The sequence below is a fragment of the Homo sapiens genome, chromosome 10, assembly GCF_000001405.40.
Source record: "Homo sapiens chromosome 10, GRCh38.p14 Primary Assembly".
Lineage (NCBI taxonomy): Eukaryota > Metazoa > Chordata > Mammalia > Primates > Hominidae > Homo > Homo sapiens.
Genome location: NC_000010.11, coordinates 122,800,976 through 122,828,013, shown reverse-complemented (window position 1 = coordinate 122,828,013; position 27,038 = coordinate 122,800,976). Strand labels below are relative to the sequence as shown.

Here is a 27,038-nt window from a genome sequence, read left to right as displayed (position 1 = left end):
GAGGACCTCAGGGTTAGCTCCTAGGCTCTACCCAAAACTGCCCTCCTCCATGGGGGACTTGAAAATACTGTAGTCCCATCCTGTGCAGGTCATTTGTTGACAAAGAGGGGAACTAGTCCTTGGAGATGGGGACCTATCTTTTAAATATTGCTACTGAATATTTCTTGACAAGCAAAAATAAAAATCTGACTATGTTCAAGTCTGTTTTTTTAAAGACACCTTCAAGGATAGTGAGTCTAGCACAGGTCTCTTCCTGTTAAGGTAGAAAGTGAGATGAGAGTGGATGCTGCTCTCCTTCTCTGGGAGGATGCAGGAATAAGCTAAGCTTTCCTTGTTTGCTTTTCAGGTTTTATGTGTACTTTTCAAGTTTCCCAAATGCTTTGAGGATTTGGGAAACAGACTGAGAACATGGCCACACAAACACCTGGTAGTGAAGTAGGAGGCGGGTTTCAACTCTAGAGGAAGAGCTCAGGCACCGGACCAAATTGAGGACTAACTAAAACAGGGCTGGGGTGGAAGCAGCTTTCAATCAGACATGCCCACCAGTGTGCCATGTCAATTTACTGTTGCCACGGCAGCACCTGGGAGTTACTGCCCCTTTCCATGTCAATGACCCACTAACTCAAAAGTTACTACCCCTTGCCTAGAAATTTCTGCATAAACCAACCCTTAATCTGCATGCAATTAAAAGTAAGTATTAATATTAATATGACTGCAAAACTGCCCTGAGCTGCTACTTTTTGCCTACAGGGTAGCCCTGCTCTGCAGGAGCAGTCATAGAGCTGTAACACCGCTGGAGCTGTAACATTGCCTCTTTGATAAAGCTATTTTCTTCTACCTCCAGCTTGCTCTTGAATTCTTTCGTGGGCAAAGCCAAGAATCCTCGCAGGCTAAGCTCCACTTTGGGGCTCGCCTGCCCTGCATCAGCAGCTCAGACAGCAGATACATGGTTCCTGTGATTGCATTTCAGCCTTTCATTTGCAAGCTATAACCCAAACCCAACAAAGCCTAGGTCCAATTTATTCCCATCAAAACAAAATGATCAAAGCTTGTTGTGATGAGTGAATGACATGCTTGATTCAAGCAACCAGTTAGAGTTTTAAAAAATGAGTAGAGTTTAAAAAAATGAGTGGAGTTAAAAAAAATGAGTGACAGACACTTATTTTATTTTACCTAAGACTCTTGGCAAGAGTTGAAAATAAATCCTCGTACCGTCAGAGGATAAAAACAGAGATCCACTTAATAGCATCTGATGATTAAACAGTCAACTTAAAAAGACAATCTTTAAATTGACAATGCGGTATAGAGAGATAACCCTGCTCTTTGTAACATTTTGTACACTTTAAGACAAGAATTAGAAAATGTAGCATTTGTGGCAGCAAAGAGAGTAATTGCCTTAGAAGTTTAGTAATCAGAGAAGATTTGTTTAGTAACAAACCTCAGAGAAGCAATCCCCTCTGGCTGTTTCTTTGACCTGTCTCTATGCGGATAGCGTCTGATTGGTCAAACATTACTGAAGAGAAATAGACTTTGCTTTCTACAGATTTACATGAAAATTGCAGAAATCACTCAAGAGTCCTCCTCTGAGCAGTGACTTTGTGGATCTCCAGTGGCCCCACCATTTGGAAATGCTCAGTCTGCTTTTCCTTGGCCTCCATGGGGCCTGCACCTCTCCTACTCTGTCCTGTACAGCCCCAGGAGCAGAGAGAGGCATAATCCCCCACCTTGCACACTGCAACCTTACACTGCAGATATACCACATCATAGCTGTCAAGAAAGCTGAAGACATTGAACTTGAACTGAGCCATGTTCTTCTGGCGGGGATGGAGGTTGATGTAGGTATTGTCTTTGATGCACCTGATGGGGAGAAAAACCCCAGGACAAAAAGATTAACTTAAAGCACGATATGAGTTTACTGCAACCCAGATAATCAGGCATGGACCCAGATCTCTGATTTGCAAATAGAGTTCTTCCCACTACCCACTCTTTCTTTCATAAAGAAACTTTTTAACACTGCTATGAGTGGAAAAACCACTATTCCTGGACATAAATAGAAAGGAACTAGAAAATAAACACAATAAAACCAAAAAAAAAGTAATTAAATTCTAGGTAGAACTCTTGTCTTCAAAAGGCCTACTCTGTTTTGTCCAAAGAGAGATGAAAAGTGTTGGTGGTTTTATTTGAAGGCAAACTTGGATTATTTAAAAATGTACATCAGTAAACCCTAGGGAAACCACCAAAAAAAAAAAATTAAGAAGTGATGCATTCAGAGGAGAAAAAATGAGTCACATAAAATGCTCAATTAAAACTGGAGAAGGCAGCAAAAAGAGTGTGAGGAGACAAACAAGGAACAAATGCAACTAATAGAAAACAGTTACTGAGATGGTAGATTTTAATCCAATGATATCAAGAATCACTTTAAATATAAATGGTCTAAATATAGCAATTTAGAAGCAGAGTAGATTAAAAAACAAGTCCCAACTATTTATTGTCTACAAGGAACCCACTTTAAATATAAAGACACAGGTAAGTTAAAAGTAAAGAGATGAAGAAAGATATACCGTGCAAATACTAATCAAAAGAAAGGTGGAGTAGCTACATCAATTTCAGAAGAAAATAAACTTCAGAGCCAGGGTAATTATCAGGAAGCAAGAGGGGTATTATATGAAAACAAAGTGATCAGTCCTCCAAGAAGACACAATAATTTTTCTTATGTAAGCACGTAACACAGTTTTAGATAGAACTGCAAAGAAAATCAACAAATCCACTATAATAGCCAGATACTTCAAAACTCCTCCAACAGTAGTTGACAGATCCAGCATGAAGAAAATCAGTGAGGATATAGATGACCTAAACAGCACTCCCAATCCACTAGATCAAATTGACATTTATAGAGCCCTCCATCCAGCAACAGCAGAACACACATTCTTCTCGAGCCCACATGGAATATTCATCAGGACAGACCACATTCTGGGCCATAAAAGACACCTTAACAAATTTAAAAGAACAAAAATCACACAAAATACATTATCAGAATCGTGGAATTAAACTCAAAATTGAATAAGAACAATTCCTGGAAAATTCCCAAATGTTTGGAAATTAAACAAAACATTTCTAAATAACCCATGGGTCAAATAAATCTCAAAAGAGAAATTAAAAAATATTTTGAGCTAAGTGATAATGAATATACAAGTTATCAAAAATTTGTGGAATGCAGCTAAAGCAGTGCTTAGAGGGAAATTTATAAAACACATATTTTAGAAAAGAAGAAATATCTAAAATCTATAGTCTAAGCTTTGAAAACTAGAGGAAGAAGCACAAATTAAGGCTGAAGAAAGCAGAAGAAAAAAATGTCCGTTGTTAAATTCTGGCACCAAACAGAGCCTCTTGCCTGATATATTTATAAGTGGGGTTGAAAGGGAAGAGCTTTCTCACTCTGTGGCTCAATGCAGTTTAGTGCCACCTCTGTGCACCTCTCACACCATGGCTCACACTGCCTGTGGAAGATGCTGTGTCCTGTCCGTCCCCTGGCTTTTGGAAACAGGTACCACAGTGCTCTCCATGGACTTTAGGGTGCCGTGGTCCTCACCACTCTAAAACTGCCATTGAGTAGTAAGTGATGGATTTTTGTTGTTTTCAAACTTGTTGCGAACTGCCCATCTATAAGCACTTTGCCTCTGTTAGGGGACAAGAGAGCTATAAACGCAAACAACTGGCCGAAGTTCTAACTTGGCAAATCTTTTGGTTAACCAAAGGAGCCAGAATAAGTCTCACAAGTATAACTAAGATCTTAGCTTGGGATAACCTATTAGTTCATCAGTGTAGGCCAATGCCCCGAGGGCCTGCACTATGAATGGGGAGTCCAGTGAAGTCATACGGCTGGAAGGGGCTGGAAGGAAAGGAGGCATGGACATGAAAGGGTGAAGTGAGGCAGCAGAGCCCAGGGCAGCAAGAGCCCTCCCTAGGACTGTGGGGAGTTAAGGGAAGGTGTCTATAACTGCCTGCCTATAACTATTTGTCCCCACTTGTGATCAGATGATGTTGAGGGCCCCCACTGTGCCTGAGACACAGTGAGGAGTCTGCACAAAGTTCTGATGTAGGAATACCACTTGAGAAGCCACAGGTTCCCTAAAGGCACAGCAGGTGAATATAACAGTCCACCCCAGAGGGCCTTCCATCTTCCTTACCCCTGCCGGATCAAATCATACTTGATGGCTGTAAAATCATGGGGATCAGGAGAAGCCACACAGGTATCCACGAAGAGCATCAGGTTGGGATTGGGGCTGTGGAGGGTGGCTTGGAGGAAGACCTCTTTCCTCTGGCTGTCATAGTAGGGCACCATGCCTCCCACATGCTGGGACTCAGGGGACTGGAGGAAGGATATAGACACGGTGTAGCCAGCACCCTCTGTTGGGGCGTCATCCCCATGAATGATTTCAACTGTGGATGGGCCGTCCGCCCTACAGGTGAACTTCAGCTTGGGCACCTTGTGCCGCACAATGACTCGGCCAGGGTGGCCCCGTTTCCGGCCTCTGATGGAGTTAGAGTAGCTGAGGGAGCCAAGGTGCTCCTGTGAGGATGAGAGAAGAGTTGTGGGCAGCACTCTTGGCTCCCTGACAAGCACCTGCCTCCATGAGCTGAGACCTCTCCTTCCCACCCCACTTGGCACCAGCTTGCTGACCTGCAGGAGGGAAGACCTCCCGGGGCCAGACCTCTGTGATACTTAACACCACAAAGGGGTGACATGACATGTGGGGTGCACGCAGGGAGCCCCCAGTGGGCAAGTCTGGACTGTCCCTGCCATCCTGTGAGGATTAAGCTGTTGTGCTAGCTGTGAGCTGGGGTGGCAGGTCCAGCTGCTCTGAGCTCCCCTTCTGCTGAATTCCCCCACAAGCTCGATTCCTGCAGGCTCCCAAAGGCCAACCCCACCATCCCCAGAGCTCTTGTCCTCTCTTTGGTCTCTTCCTTGCCCTTGACTCCAGACCAGTACTGGCTCCATGTGAGCTGTGGGCCTGGCCCTGCTGAACTTCACTCCCAGCCTTCAAATCCAACAGGACTTGCAGGAGGTAAGGTTGTGCTGGGGCCAACAGGCAGGGGTCCCTGCCTCTCATGCCCTGTGTAGATGCCTAGAGGCTTAGCCTGCCCGGGAACATTTGTTCAAAGAAGCCTCAGCTTGTGGGACTCAGATCCTGTGACATTCTGCTTGGAAACTCCAAGAACTGCCCTGTCAGCTTAGACCAATGTTTGTCAACTTTCTTCCACCATGGTCCCACTAAGGAGCCTTTGTAGACATCTTACTCATCCTGGCCTCTCTCAAACCCTGACTATGAGTTGTAATACAAGTATAGTGTTTATATACCAGATGTGTATCTGTGCTTGAGCTAGAAAGAAAGATATTATAATTTTTGCCTCTAAGAACCAATATCTATCTTCCCTGCTGCCCATAAGGGTGACATTACCCTCCTTGAGAATCTCTGACTTAGAATAAAAGTCAAACTCCTCACCCACATGGTCCTGCCCTTCTTCCACTCTGATCTTGGGCTTCCTGGCCTCCAGTCTCTTCTTGAAAGCCCCAAGGCTGCGGCTGCCTCAGGACCTCAGCCCTGGCTGATCCCCACATCCTCTGCCTGGCTGCCCCACCCCAGGGCAGGCTCAGCTTCCCAGCCACCAGCCTATTCAACACGGCTTCCCTTCCACCCCAAATGACTCTTCTACCCCTCCCTTGTTTTACTGTCTTCGTAACCTCTTTTGGTATAAAAAGGACCCTGGTTTGGGTGTTTGGTCTGATCCTGTCCCCCTTTTCGTGAATGTAAGGGCCATGGACCAGGGGCTCTGTCAGTCTTGCGGCTGCTGTGTCCCCAGCACCTAGAAGGTGACCCATCCACTGACTCTGAAAGCAGACATGGACCTCTGTGCAGCAGTGTTTTCCTTATCAGTGCTCTCTGATCCTGCTGACTGCTACCCCAGCACCCTGGTCAGCTCATGGGGTTTTCAGGGGAAGCTGAGCCAGCCAGGCGAAAGAGAACATTTGCAGGGTCTTCCCTGATGGCCCAGAGGCTTCCCTGAGGGTGCCCACTTCCCAGACACAGGGGGCATGGATCCTGGGGCAGAAACTTCTGAGGTTAAAAAGTAGAATTGTCAAAGCAAAAAGGATAGGAATGACTACGATCTGTACAATGAAATAGATAAAATGTGAATGACTTCAACCTCTAACAATGCCAAGGGTTTCCTGGCCTCATGTTTGTGTCTAATCAGGGGATGTACAAGAATGGAGAAGCAGTATGGGGATCTTGCTTGGGAACAGGTTATCCTGTTTAAATACTGAGAAAAAAATATTCTGTGGTTATACACTCTCCCTATATCTCTCGTGTACTTGTTTCCTTAATTTCAATACCATTGTTTTGTGAAATAAACCAGTAGTCAAGGAAAACTAAATAAACATATATATGTCATGATTTATAAATGTCCTAAAGGTTTGCTTTCTTGATCATGGAATGCAGTTACCTGCTTAGAAACCTAGCAGTCAGATGGGCAAGTGGACAATCTGTCTTCCCTCATGCCTGTCACCATAGCTTGCACATGGTAGGTGTACACCAATGCTCAATCAAGAGGCATGTGTGGAAAATACATTGCCTCTGGAGTGAAAAGAATATACCATCCATCCATCCATCCATCCATCCACACATCCATCAGCCCATCAGCACTCAATACTTGTTATTGTGTATCCCAAATTCCCCAAAGGAAGGAAAGTTTCAGACAAACTAATGAGCTGCTCTCTGTCTTACCAAACTCAGAAATGAAGTTATGGTTTGCACTTTTCCTCTGTCCTTACACAGATTTTTAATAGGTGGTTGAATTTCCCAAATTTTTCACCTGGGCCTCATCTGCAGAAGGGTAGCACCACCTGGGAAGTGTCCTACCTGCTGGATAGTGCCACAGTGGCCATAGGGAATGTTGAAGATCAGGCAGCGTCCCATGACTTTGGGGCGACATAGCTCATCATTTAAGTGGATGTCCCAGGAGGAGTAGCCCAGCCTCCGGAGATAGCCTCGGTCAATGACGGCTTGGAAGAGGTGAGGCAAGCAGGATAGCTGGGCTGCAGGAGGGGAAGATGAAGAAATCCTCACAAAGAGAAACTGGTTCACTGGTCATGTAGGTCCTGGGTGCGTGTATATCTTTACTTCATTAAACTACCATGAACAATGCCCTGAGCTGGAGCTGGCTCAGCTCTCCTCATATCCCACCCTTGACTTGACTTTCATTAATTTTACTTATACCAACCCTTTTCCAAGAAGGCTTTGAGGTCACCCCACACCCATGGGGAATCCTACCCATAGCCCACATTCCATGCATGGCTCATTTCTCATGTTGAGAACTGTGCACCTGAACACGATCTATCTGGGTCTTTGTATGGAGGTAAGTTGAAGAAAGGGAGCCTGGGTGCAAAGGGGCTTTTTCCCAACCTCCTAAAACCCAGCGAGTGGGTGGAAATCCAGAGATCTCAGTGTAAACACAGAAGCGGGTCCCCATCACAGCCTGTTCTTTCTCCCCTGCTTGGCTGTTCTCTCAGCTCCCCCATCAGCATCCTTAGCCTCAGACGCTAGAGGGAAGACTTTACCATTGTCCTTAGGTACAAGAGAGTCAGCCAGACCTGGTGAGAGAAGGATGAAAACAAATGTCAACTGTGTTGGAACACTGCAAGAGGATAATGTAGCTGGTAGTAGACATGAAGTGTAGGGGAATGGGCTCATTTGATTTCGCTACTAAAGCTGGGGTACAGTGGCATGAGAATTTTCCAGAGCATGCAAAGGAAAGGAGGGCCCAGGGCCTCCTGAGGGAGCTGGAGCCTGGCATGTGTGAACTAGAGTTGAGAATACATATATCATCAATTCCAAGATTTATTGGAGCAAGAGAATAGTAGACACATGGCTTCTAAGGTTATAATGCTATCCTGTGTATGAACACTGATTGGTGTCCTTTCCCAAGCACGTGACACGCTTGGAGCCTCAAGCTGGGAAAGATGTAATTTGCAGATATCAAAGTCTTCTCCAGCTCAGAAGCAAGGCAGGACAGTACCCCAGAGCCAACACCCAGCCCAGGAAGCATGGCCAGCTAAGTTCACTTAACCCCTCAGTGAATGTCCAAAGGATCCACTTGGTATATAATCCAAGAATGGAAAATGGATCGTCATTTAGAATCGGTCCCCTGACAGCATCAGGAATAGCTGGAACCAGGAACTGACATAATCAAAACAAGGATCTGGAAGGTGAGGGCCCCATGACCCTAGCACACATTCATACTCCTTGGCTGGGTGTGATTCATGTCTGTCTTCAGGGGCCTCTGACAGCTTTTCTAGTTGGGTCCCATGTCTATGCAAAACAAGGCACCATCTACAAAGGCAAAAGCAATGGCAACAATTCCTTTGATTTACCCATAAAAAACTAAGAATGGAATAGACAAGTTGAGCTCAGACTTGTGTTTCAAATCTTAGAATTCCATAACTCCTTGACGTTTAGGGTAAGTTTAGGGCACATATAAAGAAGCACTGCTCCATACAGAAGGTAGTCAACCTCTTGAAGTCAGAATGCCCAGACAGATATTGGGTGACAAAATACATTCCAGGAAAGGTATAGGCCAAATCTTGGATGAAAGGGACATCAGAGGAGCCAGGGACACCCTGGGGTGTCTTTCTGACTTCTGAGGGTTAGGGCCAGGTGAGGAGGAGTGTCTAACCAGGACTATGCTCTTGAAGCCCTCCTCCGAGATGGAAAGAGGGACTGGACAAATCGTAGACAAACAGCAGCAAGTTCGACGGCCTTAGTCATTTTGTTACACCGCCACTCCTTCCTTTGACCCCATCATCGTTTAACTGTATTTCAGAACCAATACTGAGCTGAAGTGGAGTTGGACAAAAGTGACGAGTGCGCCCCCAAGCCTGGATGATTAAAACGTTTACCAGCAAGTGTACCTAACCAACATGCCCTCGGTACCATAGGATCTGGGACCCTGGCCGCACCTGATATCCCCAGGATGGTGAATTTGGACCCCAGGAATGTGAGGAGAGGAAAGGCAGGGTGGGCAGAGGACGCGATACCTGCGCACACCACGCCCGCGTCCTCGCGGTGCTGGCAGTTGTGCCGGGCCCAGCCCGAGTGGGTGCAGCGCTCCAGCGCGTTCTCGTGGCCGGTGCAGCGCACGTCGTCCAGCAGGATGGGCCCGGTGCCCTGGCCAAAGCGGCCGCGGCCCGGGGCGCCCAGAGCACGGCCGCAACCCAGGAGGCGGCACACCACACGGGCGTTCCTGATGTTCCAGTGGTCGTCGCACACCGTGCCCCACACGCCCTGGTGCCGCAGCTCTACCCGGCCCTCACAGCGGCTCCGCCCGCCCGCCAGGCGCAGGGGCGGCTCTGCATGGTGAGAGAAGCGGTCAGGTGGGAAGAAACTCGAGGTCAGGTTTCCATCCTGGACAGGATCGCAGGGTGCCACTTGCTATTTGCAATACGAACTGTTTCTGGTTTTGTTGTTCTCCAACACACACACACACACACACACACACACACACACACACACACACACACACACTTTCTCTCATACAGTAAAGCCTTAATTATCTGAAGCCCTCAAGGAATGGTCCTTGTGGGCAAGCCTAGTTTTCCAGGTACCTAAGAACTTAGTCTTCAAGCAAAAATATAAAAACCCAAAGAAAACAAAGCAAACAGGCAAAACAAAAAACCAAAACACTTCCAAATATTTAGGAGACAGTTGTTCTAAAATGAGGCACTGCCTTGACTCATCAAACATGTATCCAGTGAAATTACTTTTACTCTTGATGGTGAAGAGCTCATACGTTCGCTCTAAAAACCATATTGTACAACCCAGCTCTTCCATTTGGTATTTACTCAAGATGAACGAATGTGCATGTCCACAGAAAGATTTGGACACAGCAGAAGCCTCCACAACAGCCCAAATCCAGAAACCATCCAGGTGCCCATCTGCAGGAGAAGGGGTAAATCATAGTATAGGCACACAGTGGAATAACACTGCGCAGTAAAAAAAAGTCACAAATGACCAATACATTTGTTCCTTTATGGATCTGAAAAACATTTGAAGTGAAAGGAGTTAGAAACACGACAGCACATGTTATTTGATTCCATTTATATGACATTCTAGAAAAACAAACCTATTCTATAGTGACAGAAGGCAGATCAGTGTTTGCCTGGAGAAGGTGGGAGAGATTTACTGAGAAAGGGCATGAGGGAACTTCCTGGGATGATGGAAATGCTCTCTATCCTGATGGTGGTGGTCGCTACACAGTTGTGTATGTTAGACAAAACTCATGGATGCATGCAGTTTATTGTATAGAAATTATACTTCAAAAAGGTTGATTTGAAAAATAAAAAGAATAAAAAATAAAATCTATATTCTGTTGGTGGTATCATGCCCACAGACATGTGTAGAATGATTTGCCTTTATATCAGCCTGTGGTGACTGCATCTTTCAATTTTCTGCTCTGTTTGACACATAGAAGATGCTTAGTGAATGTTAAACACCACAGGCTTCTGTTTCTCTGTGACTGTAGTATGCTGGTCTAGGCTGGTCACTCTCCTCATCATATTTATTGCTGTAATATTGGAAGCAAGATAACCATGCTTGTTTGAACTATGAATAAGGGTAAATATCTTCTGGGTAAGGTTTTGGAAAGTGAATTTTGGGATTTCAACCCACAAAGTGCATGTGTATCCACACACACACCTGTGTCTGCACATACACACCTACAAGCTCATAAAATTTTCCTGTAAAGAGTAAGGAAGTTAAATGAAAAATAAATATGATCCTAACAGTATTAATAGAGTTATGATCATTTTAGTGTTTAGAGACAAAAATTACCAAGTACAGGGACCATCTTTTCATCAACTGAAATTTTAACTGTAAATAAGAAAAAAAATAAACTTCAAAAATATGTGTTCATATTTATATTCAAACCTGAAAAAGAACCAAACATTTTCTGTAATTTCAGATAGCAATACATTGTTTAAGTTCCTACTTTAGTTTGGGTGCAGAAATATTATCCATTAAGTTTTACTTTTTTTGCCATCAAAATGTATTAAATGGCTAGGTGCCTGCGCTCACACCTGTAATCCCAGCACTTTGGGAGGCTGAGGTGGGAGAATCACTTGCATCCGGGAGCTCAAGACCAGCCTGGGCGATATGGCGAGATCCAGTATGTATTAAAAAAATGTAAAAAAATAGCTACAGGGTGGTGCACACCTGTGTTCCTAGCTACTCGGGAGGCTGAGGTGGGAGGATCACTTGAGCACAAGAGGTCAAGGCTGCAGTGATTGCACCACCGCACTCCAGCCTTGGCAACAGAGCAAGACCCTATCCCAAAATAAATAAATAAATAAATAAATAAATAAATAAATAAATAAATAAATGTAATAAGCAGTGCTGTATCCTGTTTATTCTCCAGATATAAAATAATGTATTCAATGGTCAGAAAAAAGCTTTATAAATATATTGAATTTTGAAAGGAAGAATTAAAAAAACATATTTTGTAGAAAACATTTTTATAGGGGCTGAAAATGAAGCCAAGAAAATCAAGTTAGTTTCCTCTGAAATATTTTTAGATAAGAAAAAGGTCATATCTGAGAGATGTAATTCCATAGTAACATATACAGAGGAAAGCCTGGTAGAAAAATTAGCAATGGATTTTATGAAAGAATATAGTAGTGCAAATAATAAAATGAAGCATTAATCTAGCAACAGACATAAGATCGTTACAGAGTGATGGTGTCACTTTGGTCGAAATTAGATCTGTGGCTTCAAAAAAAATATTCTCTTGAAAAGAAAGCATTAAAATTTGGCTTCATTGAAATTTTACACTGTAGACTATAAATGTATGAAAACGAGCCTATTTCATCTGTGATATGCAGTAGAAATCCACCGCGTGCACTGATCTTGTGGATTTACACATTCAGGCATAAACTGGAGTACGAGAGGCTGGCATTTTGTGAGGGAGACTGACAATTCTTATTTTGAACATCTACAATGTGTCAGATAATTTGCATCTCTGGTCCTCATGACAATTATTTTAGAGATGAGGAAATGGAGACTCAGGGGTTTTATAGCATGCTCAGGTTATCCACAATTCAAGCCCATGAGGCTCCAAAGCATGTATTCTAAGCACTTTGCCTTTCAGGAGTATAACATGTGGGAGTCGCATTCACCCGGGCTCCATGTGGTTAATCAGGGATGAAGGGGAAGGAAGGTAAGGGTTTAATGGCCACCACACCTTTTCTCCCACTCCAAGGTGGCCCTTCCCGAGCAAACAGGAAGTGATTTCGCTGTCATGCCTTCACAAAGGAAGTAAAACCCTCTGAGTGTCACCTAATCTGTGACCAAAGCAACCCAATTACCGTCAACCAGATCCACAGAGAAAAGGTTGCCTCATGTGATGTCAAGAGCCAGTGAGAATTACAAGCAAAGGAATCTTCTGGCAAAAGTGGAGTCATGGTGTGGGTGAGAAGGAAGGAAGTGAGGAAATGAGGGATGGAGGTAGGAGGAAAGCGAAGGAGGGAGGGAGAAAGAAAGGAAGGAAAAGGAAGGAAGGAAGGAGGGAAGGAAGGAAGGAAGGAAGGAGGGAGGGAGGGAGGGAGGGCAGGCAGGCAGGCAAGAAGGCAGGCCGGCCATACTTAAACATAGGTGAAAAGAAAGTGCTGAACTTTGGTTTCATTGAATTTTACCCCCATATGTCTTCAAAGTACCCAGGACTTGGGGGAAAAAAGAAAATAAATAAAAGAGAAGAAAGCAGCAGAGCCTTGTTACTGAAGACGTCAATGTCATAGGGATTTGGGAGAATCACACAGATGGATTCATCAGCAGAGCATGAGAGCAGAAAGGACTTTGGATAGGAGTCAGGACACCTGGCTCTGCCTTGCCCTAGCTCTGTGACTTTAGGCAAATCTTTTCCTTCTTTGGGCCTCATTTTCCTCCAAAATGAGGGTGGTGGTTCAACACCTTACTCCCCCAACCGGGTCCATGACCGGCAGCAGCGGCATCACCTGGGAGCCTCTTAGAAAAGCTCCACCCAGAGCCACTGAATTTGCATTTCACAAGTTCCACATGAGGCTCACACACATATAAGCATTTGGGAATCCCTACTCTAGACTTGAGATTTTAAGCTATTTTATCCTATTTATCCTGTCCCCAGCATCCACCTTCACTGCGTGCAGTTTCATGACTAGTGATAGGGGAGTGGCCTGGAATCCTCTGGGGAGTTGAGTGGCCTCCCCTGACTTCTCCTCTCTTCTCCCCTGACCTCACCTGGAGAAACAGAAGTGTTTATTCTGGGTGTGTAAACTCTTGCTGGGCTGAGCATTCTGAGAAAGCCACTCATGAGGGCTGTTGCAAGGAGCAGAGAGCATACCTGGTGAAGAAGGGGCTTCAGCTGCAGTGGGAGTCGTATCTGCAAATGCAGAGGAATGTTTTGGTTTGACCAACTACATGGTGGAAAACAGAAGGGCAGATGGATAGAACTAACACTATCACAACCCAGTTTTTTCATGTTTGTGTTCAGGTGTGCTTGCTGGGTCAAAGCATCACCTGAAACATGACACATATGGCCAAGCAGGAGAGGTGCAGACCCCCAGCCCTGGCCTCCATGAGCACATCTGATCAAGACCAGTGCATGATACACACAGGCCAAGCAGGAGAGATGGGGACCCCCGGCCCTGGCCTCCCATGGGCACATCTGATCAAGACCAGTGCATGACACACAGGCCAAGCAGGAGAGATGTGGACCCCCGGCCCTGGCCTCCCATGGACACATCTGATCAAGACCAGGGCATGACACACACAGGCCAAGCAGGAGAGGTGCGGGCCCCCAGCCCTGGCCTCCCATGGGCACATCTGATCAAGACCAGTGCATGACACACACAGGCCAAGCAGGAGAGGTGCGGGCCCCCAGCCCTGGCCTCCCATGGGCACATCTGATCAAGACCAGTGCATGACACACACAGGCCAAGCAGGAGAGGTGCGGACCCCCAGCCCTGGCCTCCCGTGGGCACATCTGATCAAGACCAGTGCATGACACACACAGGCCAAGCAGGAGAAGTGTGAACCCCTAGCCCTGGCCTCCCATGGGCACATCTGATCAAAACCAGTACAGCAAGCAGAAGGTGTGCCCTGGTGCGGGGGCCACTTTTGTGTCTATGGATGAAGAGAACATGAACCTCAGTTTCTGTGAAAAGGATGCTGGGGTTTCTGTTTACACTGAGGCTCATACCATAGACAGAATAGCCAGTACCTATATATGTTGATTTGCCACAGAGAAAGGGAAAAAGTTGATCATATTGAACTTTGGAAATATGACAGGCAGAAAACATTACCAGAGGGCGTGTCCGCTTCTGCTGAGATTGAAGATGCATCTGTGTATTAACAAAGAGAGCAGGATACAAACATGAGTGGAAGAAGGCCAGCTGTGTCTTTTCATTGAGTTTTACTCTGCAGTAAAAATGATCATAACTGAGGCTTATTTTCTGAATAGAACATGACACATACGAAGCCAGTCTCATTAACTTAAACAGTACCACAAAGGAGACTTTACCAGGTGGAAAGGTCACTTCTGCTGAGGTTGAAGAGATCTCTAGAGATAAAAGGAAGAAGAGACATACACCAGTGGAGGGGACTCCTGGGTTTCTGTTTTTACTGAGGCTATGTTGGGGACAAAATTTTTGAGTTTCATTTTGATAAACAGATCTCCAAGAAGAGGCACTGATGGGATAGCAGACAGAGTGTTCTACCTGGTGTGGAGGTCACGGGAGTGGAGATGGAAGCTGCAGGTGAACACAAAGGACAAGGGAGCAATAAGACCGTCTCGTCAGGCACACATGCCTCTACAAGATGCAGGAGACAGGAAGGTGGTGTCCTGGATCAGTGACTGCCAGGCTTGTCCTCCTGCTCTGCAGCCAGGAGCCGTGGCAAGGCATCTCCAGACCCCCCACTGCCTCCAAGCCAGCCCTCCATTCCTTCTTGTGGGTCTCCATTCCTCTTGCCAACATGTTACTTCTTCCCATGGAGGTAGAGGTGACTGTCTGGGGGGGGCCACAGCCATGGGCCAGGTTTCTCAGTGGCATGGAGTTAATCTAACAAAGATTCTGTGAGTGGGTACTTGCTTTCCCGGCCTTTCTCCTCCTTTCAAATGATTGGTGGCAGTGACCCAGGAAAGGGTCAGCTCTGCAGACTGGAACTTTCCCTAGTGGGCTGTCCTAAGATCTAGCTGAGAGTGGGGAGGGGTGGCAGGTCCATTTGTCTTTTGTACTGTTTCCCGCCAATCCAGCTTTATCAGTAATAAAGGCTTCATTTTGCTGCTGAATCTGATGTTTTATACCTCATTTGCTTCAACACCTAGAGCAGGGAAGACCACCCTCTTATTATCCCCCTTCCCTCACAAAAAAAAAAAAAACCCACAAATCCCTCTACACTCTACTTGTGAAGTTCTCGAACCCAGAGTCACATTAGAAACTCCTCAGATAATTCCAACCAGCATCACTCCAAATCTGTTGTATAAGAGGCAAGTTACTTGCTGTCTTGGTCAACTCTGCATCTCTTACTGCCTTGGCCATCCTCACTGAATGCTGGCAAACGTCAAGGAGGATCAGGGAAAACCATGGCTTGACTTCTTTCCATTCTGGAAACACCACTTGGTGGCTGGTCTCCAGGAGAAGTTCTCTCCACAGACTCAAGTAGGTGATTACCTTAGACCAGTGGTCCCCAACCTTTTTGACACCAGGGATTGTTTTGTGGAAGACAAATTTTCCACAGATGGCGGGGAGGATGGTGGATGGTTTCAAGATCAAACTGTTCTACCTCAGATCATCAGGCATTAGTCAGATTCTCATAAGGTACACTCAACCTAGATCCCTCACACGTGCAGTTCACAACAGGGTTGTGCTCCTGTGAGAATCTAATGCTGCCACTGATCTGGCAGGAGGCAGAGCTCAGGTGGTAATGCTCACTTGCTCATCATTCACCTCTTGCTGTGTGGCCCAGTTCCTAACAGGCTATAGAGCCCTACTGGTCTGTGACCTGGGGGTTGAGGATCCCTGCCTTAGACTACCAGTCAGTGAATGTCTTCATGGATTCAACTTGGCCTAATGGGTTGAACAAATTTTTCCCTTGGCTTATGCATTGAGCTGAGTTGCCCAGAATTCACTGATCATCATCAGGGGATCAGAGATGGCCTTTAAGAGTAAGGTTAATATAAACATATTTTAAAACTCAAAAGATGACTAAAAATGAAAGAATTTGACCAGGACATAAAAAGTTGTTTAATCAATTCACTGGAAAACCAAACAAAAAAAATTATAGCAAGCCAGATGGAACCCAAAATAACACTTAAATTACCTTTTGAGGTGGTTAGAGCAGTATTCAAAGACACTGGAAATGAGAAAAGGTAATTGGTCAAAACCTACCAAATGGCAAACAAATTTTGTTTCATAGTTAATTTGTTTTCTTCTCTGTGTCCCTAGAACACGGAAATCATGGTCTTCATTGATTTAATTAACAAATATTGACTGCCCACTCCTCTGTGCCAGGGACTGTGCCAGGGCTGGAGTAAAACAGCCAACAAAACTACATAGGTTCTTTCTGTCCTCAAAGACAGGACTGTGTCATGGGAAATTCAGATGAGGTCAAGTGATTATACAAATAAATGTAAAATTGCAATTGTAGCAAGTGCTATGAAGGAGAGAGGCACGATGGTACCAGAGCCCATGGCAGGTGATCGAACCTAGCCAGGAAAGTCCTCTCTCTATCTTACCATCCTCCAACCACCACCTCATGCCAGGCAGAGGGTCTGGCCTGGATGAGGCACCCTGCTCAAAGACGATGATAACTTGATACCACACCGCCCCCAAGCCTGCCTAGTCTTGGCCCCAGTGGTGGACAGAGGTGATCCTGGTGTCCCATTTGCATACATTTGTAGTGCAGTGGGCAGAGGGCATTACCAGGTGAAGGAGTTACTTCTTCTGAAGTGGAAATTATGCCTGAATATGAAACATGAGCAGAAATGTTAGTCAATTGATCAGAAAATTTTTATTCATTTTCTGATTATACACAGTTCTGCCTTTACTTTGGTCTCATTTACTAGGAGGCTTTGTTGTCAGAAAAATTCACCTATGATGACTAGTTGTTTTCCACCCTCTCAAATTCCCATCTTCCTGAATTAAAAACATATGCACGTTATAAATTAAATCCTTCCTGAACTGAAACATGCTTTCCTGTTCTTTTAAATAAAAGATGCTTTAGTTCTGCTCTGATTTTAGTTATTTCTTGCCTTCTGCTAGCTTTTGAATGTGTTTGCTCTTGCTTTTCTAGTTCTTTTAATTGTGATGTTAGGGTGTCAATTTTGGATCTTTCCTGCTTTCTCTTGTGGGCATTAAGTGCTGTAAATTTCCCTCTACACACTGCTCTGAATGTGTCCCAGAGATTCTGGTATGTTGTGTCTTTGTTCTCGTTGGTTTCAAAGAACATCTTTATTTCTGCCTTCATTTCATTATGTACCCAGTAGTCATTCAGGAGCAGGTTGTTCAGTTTCCATGTAGTTGAGTGGTTTTGAGTGAGTTTCTTAATCCTGAGTTCTAGTTTGATTGCACTGTGGTCTGAGAGACAGTTTGTTATAATTTCTGTTCTTTTACATTTGCTGAGGAGAGCTTTACTTCCAACTATGTTGTCAATTTTGGAATAGGTGTGGTGTGGTGCTGAAAAAAATGTATATTCTGTTGATTTGGGGTGGAGAGTTCTGCAGATGTCTATTAGATCCGCTTGGTGCAGAGCTGAGTTCAATTCCTGGGTATCCTTGTTAACTTTCTGTCTCGTTGATCTGTCTAATGTTGACAGTGGGGTGTTAAAGCCTCCCATTATTATTGTGTGGGAGTCTAAGTCTCTTTGTAGGTCACTAAGGACTTGCTTTATGAATCTGGGTGCTCCTGTATTGGGTGCATATATATTTAGGATAGTTAGCTCTTCTTGTTGAATTGATCCCTTTACCATTATGCAATGGCCTTCTTTGTCTCTTTTGATCTTTGTTGGTTTAAAGTCTGTTTTATCCGAGACTAGGATTGCAACTCCTGCCTTTTTTTGTTTTCCATTTGCTTGGTAGATCTTCCTCCATCCTTTTATTTTGAGCTTATGTGTGTCTCTGCACGTGAGATGTGTTTCCTGAATACAGCACACTGATGGGTCTTGACTCTTTATCCAATTTGCCAGTCTGTGTCTTTTGATTGGAGCATTTAGTCCATTTACATTTAAAGTTAATATTGTTATGTGTGAATTTGATCCTGTGATTAGAGACACAAAAAACCCTTCAAAAAATTAATGAATCCAGGAGCTGGTTTTTTGAAAGGATCAACAAAATTGATAGACCGCTAGCAAGACTAATAAAGAAGAAAAGAGAGAAGAATCAAATAGACACAATAAAAAATGATAAAGGGGATATCACCACCGATCCCACAGAAATACAAACTACCATCACAGAATACTACAAACACCTCTACGCAAATAAACTAGAAAATCTAGAAGAAATGGATAAATTCCTCGACACATACATCCTCCCAAGACTAAACCAGGAAGAAGTTGAATCTCTGAATAGACCAATAACAGGCTCTGAAATTGTGGCAATAATCAATAGCTTACCAACCAAAAAGAGTCCAGGACCAGATGGATTCACAGCCGAATTCTACCAGAGGTACAAGGAGGAACTGGTACCATTCCTTCTGAAACTATTCCAATCAATAGAAAAAGAGGGAATCCTCCCTAACTCATTTTATGAGGCCAGCATCATTCTGATACCAAAGCCGGGCAGAGACACAACCAAAAAAGAGAATTTTAGACCAATATCCTTGATGAACATTGATGCAAAAATCCTCAATAAAATACTGGCAAACCAAATGCAGCAGCACATCAAAAAGCTTATCCACCATGATCAAGTGGGCTTCATCCCTGGGATTCAAGGCTGGTTCAATATAAGCAAATCAATAAATGTAATCCAGCATATAAATAGAACCAATGACAAAAACCACATGATTATCTCCATAGATGCAGAAAAGGCCTTTGACAAAATTCAACAACCCTTCATGCTAAAAACTCTCAATAAATTACGTATTGATGGGATGTATCTCAAAATAATAAGAACTATTTATGACAAACCCACAGCCAATATCATACTGAATGGGCAAAAACTGGAAGCATTCCCTTTGAAAACTGGCACAAGACAGGGATGCCCTCTCTCACCACTCCTATTCAACATAGTGTTGGAAGTTCTGGCCAGGGCAATCAGGCAGGAGAAGGAAATAAAGGGCATTCAATTAGGAAAAGAGGAAGTCAAATTGTCCCTGTTTGCAGATGACATGATTGTATATCTAGAAAACCCCATTGTCTCAGCCCAAAATCTCCTTAAGCTGATAAACAACTTCAGCAAAGTCTCAGGATACCAAATCAATGTACAAAAATCACAAGCATTCTTATACACCAATAACAGACAAACAGAGAGCCAAATCATGAGTGAACTCCCATTCACAATTGCTTCAAAGAGAATAAAATACCTAGGAATCCACCTTACAAGGGACTTGAAGGACCTATTCAAGGAGAACTACAAACCACTGCTCAAGGAAATAAAAGAGGATACAAACAAATGGAAGAACATTCCATGCTCATGGGTAGGAAGAATCAATATCGTGAAAATGACCATACTGCCCAAGGTAATTTACAGATTCAATGCCATCCCCATCAAGCTACCAATGACTTTCTTCACAGAACTGGAAAAAACTACTTTAAAGTTCATATGGAACCAAAAAAGAGCCCGCATTGCCAAGTCAATCCTAAGCCAAAAGAACAAAGCTGGAGGCATCACACTACCTGACTTCAAACTATACTACAAGGCTACAGTAACCAAAACAGCATGGTACTGGTACCAAAACAGAGATATACATCAATGGAACAGAACAGAGCCCTCAGAAATAATGCCACATATCTACAACTGTCTGATCTTTGACAAACCTGAGAAAAACAAGCAATGGGGAAAGGATTCCCTATTTAATAAATGGTGCTGGGAAAACTGGCTAGCCATATGTAGAAAGCTGAAACTGGATCCCTTCCTTACACCTTATACAAAAATCAATTCAAGATGGATTAAAGATTTAAACGTTAGACCTAAAACCATAAAAACCCTAGAAGAAAACCCAGGCATTACCATTCAGGACATAGGCATGGGCAAGGACTTCATGTCCAAAACACCAAAAGCAATGGCAACAAAAGCCAAAATTGACAAATGGGATCTAATTAAACTAAAGAGCTTCTGCACAGCAAAAGAAACCACCATCAGAGTGAACAGGCAACCTACAAAATGGGAGAAAATTTTTGCAACCTACTCATCTGACAAAGGGCTAATATCCAGAATCTACAATGAACTCAAACAAATTTACAAGAAAAAAACAAACAACCCCATCAAAAAGTGGGTGAAGGACATGAACAGACACTTCTCAAAAGAAGACATTTATGCAGCCAAAAAACACATGAAAAAATGCTCATCATCACTGGCCATCAGAGAAATGCAAATCAAAACCACAATGAGATACCACCTCACACCAGTTAGAATGGCAATCATTAAAAAGTCAGGAAACAACAGGTGCTGGAGAGGATGTGGAGAAATAGGAACACTTTTACACTGTTGGTGGGACTGTAAACTAGTTCAACCATTGTGGAAGTCAGTGTGGCGATTCCTCAGGGATCTAGAACTAGAAATACCATTTGACCCAGCCATCCCATTACTGGGTATATACCCCAATGACCATAAATCATGCTGCTCTAAAGACACATGCACACTTATGTTTATTGCGGCATTATTCACAATAGCAAAGACTTGGAACCAACCCAAATGTCCAACAATGATAGACTGGATTAAGAAAATGTGGCACATATACACCATGGAATACTATGCAGCCATAAAAAAGGATGAGTTCATGTCCTTTGTAGGGACATGGATGAAATTGGAAATCATCATTCTCAGTAAACTATCGCAAGGACAAAAAACCAAACACCGCATGTTCTCACTCATAGGTGGGAATTGAACAATGAGAACACATGGACACAGGAAGGGGAACATCACACTCTGGGGACTGTTGTGGGGTGGGGGGAGTGGGGAGGGATAGCATTAGGGGATATACCTAATGCTAAATGACAACTTAACGGGTGCAGCACACCAGCATGGCACATGTATACATATGTAACTAATCAGCACATTGTGCACATGTACCCTAAAACTTAAAGTATAATAATAATAAAATAAAAATTAAAAAAAGAAAAAAAAAGATACTGATCATACTTGAACTTGCATGAACTTGGACTCATTAGGAAGAGTATCATTGTTGTTCCAGGATTCAATACAGAGCTCTCTCAAAGGATGCTGAGATAAGTGGGCATTTTTGCTCCATTTAGAAAGTGACACTGAATGCTTTTTTTTTTTTTTGAACCCTTCTATGGCTATCAGAGCATCTGCTAGCATTTCCTGCCATTGCCAATGTAGCTTCTCTATTAGGTCTATACCTCCTAGCACCCTGCACTCCCTCCCCAGCCTGTTGTCTCTACTAATATATAGTCAGCAGGGAGACCAGATAGCCAGATGTTATGAGTGTGTAGAAAGTAAGAACAAGCTCTCAGTAACAGGCTCTGTGGTATACCTCTGTAGGTATTCAAACACTTGAGCTTGAATGCTAGGATCTCAGTTTGGGCGCATGAGGCACTCTGTCTATTTCTGGGTTCTAGTCTATTTTCCAGGGGATTAATTTAGCCAAGTGACTCCTGGACAAATAGTGGTATAATTGTACTAGCTAGGTAAATTTCAACATAGCAATATCCCTAATATAGGTAATAAAGGACATACTAGGAAAAAACTTGTTACCAGGTGTAAGGGCAAAATCTGTGGCTGAAATTGAAGCAGGAACTGTCAAGACAAGCAAAAGTTAAGAGAAAATTATAGTTAAATGCCATCCTTGTCAATCAAGTTTATTGGTAAAGATTTTTTTTAAATCACACTGTTTACAAATTATGCCCCAGCCATGTTCCTGTTTCATTCTCCTATTCTCTGTTTATTAAGCTAAGGGGATTAATAATGGGGCAGGTGGGTCGTGGGGCTAGGACTCAAGAGACTTGGGTTCTAGTCTCTAGTCTTTGTGGAACAGAGTATGTGACCTTGGACAAGCTCCTTTGCATCTCTGAGCTTCAGCTACTACATCTGAAGGGCTAGTCCGTGGAGGAGTAGCATCTGTATCACCTTGTTAGAAATATGGGCTCTCAGGATCCACTAGAACCAGAATCTGTATTTTAACAAGATCTCCATGACAGCTATGTACACATTAAGGTTTGAGAAGCACCAAGCGTGCAAACGGAGATGTCTATAGGCTTAGACATGCACGGCGGCCAGGAAGAAATGGGAGAAAGAGCATGTGCCATATAAAGGAGGCAGTCATTTCCTGCTCAGCCCCAACCAATTGGTGCCCTGCTGAAATTCACGTTGACCATTCTCAGATTTTTCAATCAAAGCTGAAAATCTGGATTTTTGTAGGATATATTCCATTATTAAGAGGTGGGATTAAAAATAATGTAAACATGCATAGGTAAAACTGAGTTGTCTGCATCCAAACACATGGCAGGCCAAAACTGCCCACTTGTGACTTGCAGTATGAGCAACCTCTAAGCTTTCTTCCAACTTTTAGAAAAATGTTACACTGTGATGGTGCCATATGACTTGTTCTTGCCTGAAAGAACTGGTGGACAATTTTCACAGATCCAATCACCAAAAGAGCAGCATGTTTCCTTGTTTGATTTTCCTTAGAGGTTAGTGTGTATCAATTCTGGCAGAAGGCTTTGAGATTTTTGGAAATAAGGACCATGGAAATATGGACAGTTCAGAGAAAACTTGAGTTGAGCTGACTTGAATTGATTTGGTATTTCACTCACTTATTTAGCCAAACAGTGGTTAACTTAAGCCTTAGGATGATCCCCAAAGTGTCCAGAGGAAGGAATTTTATAAAAGGACACATGGGTTGCTTACATTAGGGAGCCAAGCCGGAACTCAGCAGGCGGCAGCACACACATCCCTAAGGAGGTGACTGTGAAGCTCCCATCACCGTGTTCTTACACAAGTGTGACCTGACCACTCAGTCCCCAGGACAAGCTTCCGAGGTGGCTGTTTTCATCCTCTTGTTCTACACATGAAGAAACTGAGGCTCTGAAAGGTGAGGAGATTTGACTGCTGTGACCTAATTGGTTAAGGCTGGAGCCAGAACGTAATCCCAGGTTCTCTGGCTCCAAATCCTGCGAGGAGGCTGCATTGCCACTCGAAAGTCTTCAGTGGTCAAAGAAGTTTGAGAATCATTGGATTAAACCAAGTTTTTTTTTGTTTTTTTTAAAGATCCCTTACTACAGGTCTTGTCAGAGACTTTAATGTGTTAATAGGCAGTGAATCTTCAAGAGAGGGATATGGCATTTCCCTAACTTACTTAGCTGTGTGAATCCTTCTTTAAAATTTGCATATCAATAGATTAATGTACTGTAATGTGGAACACACGAGAGATGTGGTACTCCATTATTTTCTGAAAATGCAGATTAAGGTAGTTTTGCCTGAGATATCTGAAGTCCTGTGGTTTGGGGGTTAAAAAAAACCCAGACTCACTGGACACCCAAATGTATGGACACTGATGAGGATGTAAGTGAAGCCAGTCACTAAAACTTGATTTCAAAGACCAGCTGTTGCACCAAAGAGGGAGGAAACAAACTAGACATATTATGTGCTATGTATGGAAGGCACACAATCTCTGTCAATGTACTCCTTCATTTAATGAATATATAAGCAACTTATACATTGACATGAGCTGATATTTAATTTTATATGAGATATAAACTCCAACCCTAACCATATGCAAAACAATCTACACATATCTGATTTATAGAAAGCAAGAAAGAAACTAAAATTACCAGGTGAAGTGGTTATTTCTGTAGCTGATGCTGAAATTGCAAAACAAACAGGAATTTAGGTTTGTTTAATTTTAAAAATTTATATCTCAGATACATTAAAATTAGATACAGAACAACTTTTGAGATGTAAAATTAAAAATGACAAAGGTTTCTTTGTTAAGACTGAAAGAGTGACAGGGATGCAAAAGGCAGAAAGTGAGAAACACCTATTGGTTGTGAGAACCCCCTGGGATGGATCAGAGAGGCTGTTTCACTGAAGCACTGAAGAGGACATCATTTCTAGAATGGCAAAGTACTAGGAGCCTTCCTAATTCTGACTTTAGGTTTCTAATGTTGATTTCCCATTTTCACCAAATTATAACACAATACTAAGTTGTCTGAGCACTAAAGGAAAGTGATTCCTTAACATAATAAAGCATATTATGACCCTTGATTCAGTATTCATTTACTTTTGTTAATTATCCATTACAGTTTAAATGCACAAATGACTCTAACCCTCCCACTGGAATGCAAGCTCCATGAGGGCAGGATTGTCTGTTGTGTTCATTGCTACATTCTCAGCACCTAGAATTGTGCCTGGCACATATGAAGTGCTCAATAAATATTTGTTAAATAAATGGATGAATTCAATCCTTTTAGTGTAGTCTTTGTCCTATAAAATTAAGATAAGCTAAGCAGTGAATATTACATTTCATTTCCTTTTCTATTTTGCTTTTTTGGCAAGAGAAAGAAACATAGATAATGCACAAACTGGGCTGATTTTTTTTTTAAAGGAAACTATCTCAAACCAGAGAGGCCAAAAGAAGATAGTGTTGAAGCTTTCACACAGTATGTAGATGGGAAGATCTGGGTTTTGTTCATGGAATTTCCTGGAGCAGCACTGCAAAGTCAGCTTTAAAGCTCAAAACAGACAACTTTGGGACAAAGTCTAGGAAGTGCCATTACCCTAGTGAATAGTTCACAGAAAGGATCTGGTAATTCCTTGAAGACTGCAGAGACAGAGGGACCTAAGGTGAACTCATTAGGCCTTGAGTCAAACACTGGGTAGATCAACAAATTAAGGGAAGCTGAGAATAGCCAAGAGGCCTCCGGAACCAAGATCAGGGCAGGATGTGGGGCTGAGGGACTTGGGGCTGACCCAGGGTTGTATTATATGTCATTATGTATCCTTTGCCCCAGGGAGCTCAGTGTTGAGAGTGGACCTTGGGCATTTGTTTAGAGGATGCCAGTGAGACCCAAACTTCCTCACATTGGTTTCCAGGTCCCCCACTGAGAGTCATGGCTCTGGCAGCCTCAGGAGAAAGCTGGAAGTCAGTATCTGTGCAGATGAGCCCAGCATCCTCATGGTGGCCACAGTTGTGGATGGACAGACCCAGATAGCCACGCTGGCCTAGTGTGGTCTCCATGCCTTGACACTGCCCATCGTCCAGGAGGATGTGTCCCACGCCGCCACCCCCCACCCCTGCAACCAAGTGGCCATTCCCTGGGGTGGCCAACACCCTTCCCACAACCCAGCTGCTGGCACACCATGTGGGCAGCGTTGACGCCCCAGAGGTTGTCGCACACAGTCCCCCATGTGCCATTGTGGTAGACTTCAATGTGCCCTTTGCATTGGCTCCTCTCATCTGCCAACTTGACAATGGGCAAGGCTGGGGGAGACCCAGAGGTTATCACTGGAATGTGATCAGCTCTTCTGGCAGACACTAGTGGGACTTTTCTTTAGTTCTTAAAATAATACACACTCTAAATTCCAAAACTCTAGACACTCTTGCTTCCTGCTTCTGGGTCCCATAGGACTAAGTCAAACTAGTGCTTGCAAATTCCTTAACTGACTTTTTGAGGCTATTTGTGATTTCCAATATTTTGTTCCCTCATTCTCATCTTTGGATTAGAAACATGGCAATTACACGGATAAGGATAAATATCTGTTTTGAAGCTGAGCCATCAAACTGATAGGCAATAGCATGGGGATATGTCAAACTCAACCTTTCATTATTTCATTATTACTGGGGCCCAGGTTCACAGTTAAAAACATTTTTCAGGATCCAGAGATTAGACAAGTGGCAGTCACCTCTGTAACCTCTCCCTCTGTATCAGCTCTGTATTTTCTCAGTCCTGGAGAGACATGAATCTGGGTGGGCACTGACATTACAGGGAGTCCCCTAGACAGATTCAATAATTAGGAAGTTTGAGGGAAGCAATCAAAGGATTACCAATGCTGGGGCCCATTTCTGTCAATGCTGGGGCAACTTCAACAGCTGAAAGGGAAAACCAAGCCATCATCACAAGCACATCAGCACTTTAAAAGATTAACCCCACACTACACAATGTCTCTGCACCACTTTTCCCTCCCATGGTGGTGACCCTCACTGTCTGACAGTAATTGGAAGCATCTGTCTGAACTTTGTCAGGGTAGCATCACTGATGGTCACCTGGGGGATTTGAAGCTACAAGGATGGATGATGAACATTTGATGCCACTTTAACTCAGAGTTGTTTTGCTGACACACCATGACTTGTTTGAAACACTGAACACTAAGTCTTCAGATTAAAAAAAAAAAAAGCGTCATTTTCCAGGTGGTTTTTCTAAAAATTCCAAGAAATAGAGTTGAATGCTTGGAGCTCAGATTTTGCATTCCTAACTCAGGTCTCTCCAAGAACATTATGAAATTCTTGGTACAAAATTAATTTTGCTTTACTTGAATTTAGAAAATTGTAAAGTATGGATTGAGAAATGATGAAGGTGGTTGGGATTGGAAAATCAAGCAGCAGAAGATAGAACATCACTGTGACAAGCAAGTAAAAAATTGACCAAGTGAAACGGACCCCTGCGCCCAAAGCAGATGAAGCTGACTCTCAGGATCTGCATCCCCAGGAACTGGGGCTGGTTCCCGAGGCCCCTGTAGAAGGACCTGCAGGAGCAGTAGCCTGCTGCTGCTGTTGCTGCAGAGGGCGGTGGCTGAGTGGGCTCTCTTCTTGGAAAGACACCTACTCCACGAGAATCCTCCAT

At 43.6% G+C, this 27,038-nt stretch overlaps 1 protein-coding gene across 1 annotated transcript; it reads right to left on the bottom strand.

Moving 5' to 3' along the window:
- Nucleotides 1–1,145: 1,145 nt before the first annotated feature.
- On the bottom strand, nucleotides 1,146–27,038 carry LOC124900290 (deleted in malignant brain tumors 1 protein-like). Its single transcript, XM_047426130.1, has 8 exons — nucleotides 26,855–27,038; nucleotides 25,538–25,678; nucleotides 21,955–21,996; nucleotides 9,095–9,406; nucleotides 7,619–7,651; nucleotides 6,921–7,096; nucleotides 4,188–4,570; nucleotides 1,146–1,857 (listed from the first exon to the last, which is right to left on the bottom strand). The coding sequence occupies exons 1-8, from the start codon at nucleotides 27,036–27,038 to the stop codon at nucleotides 1,566–1,568; spliced, it is 1,563 nt and encodes a 520-aa protein (XP_047282086.1). The 3' UTR covers nucleotides 1,146–1,565.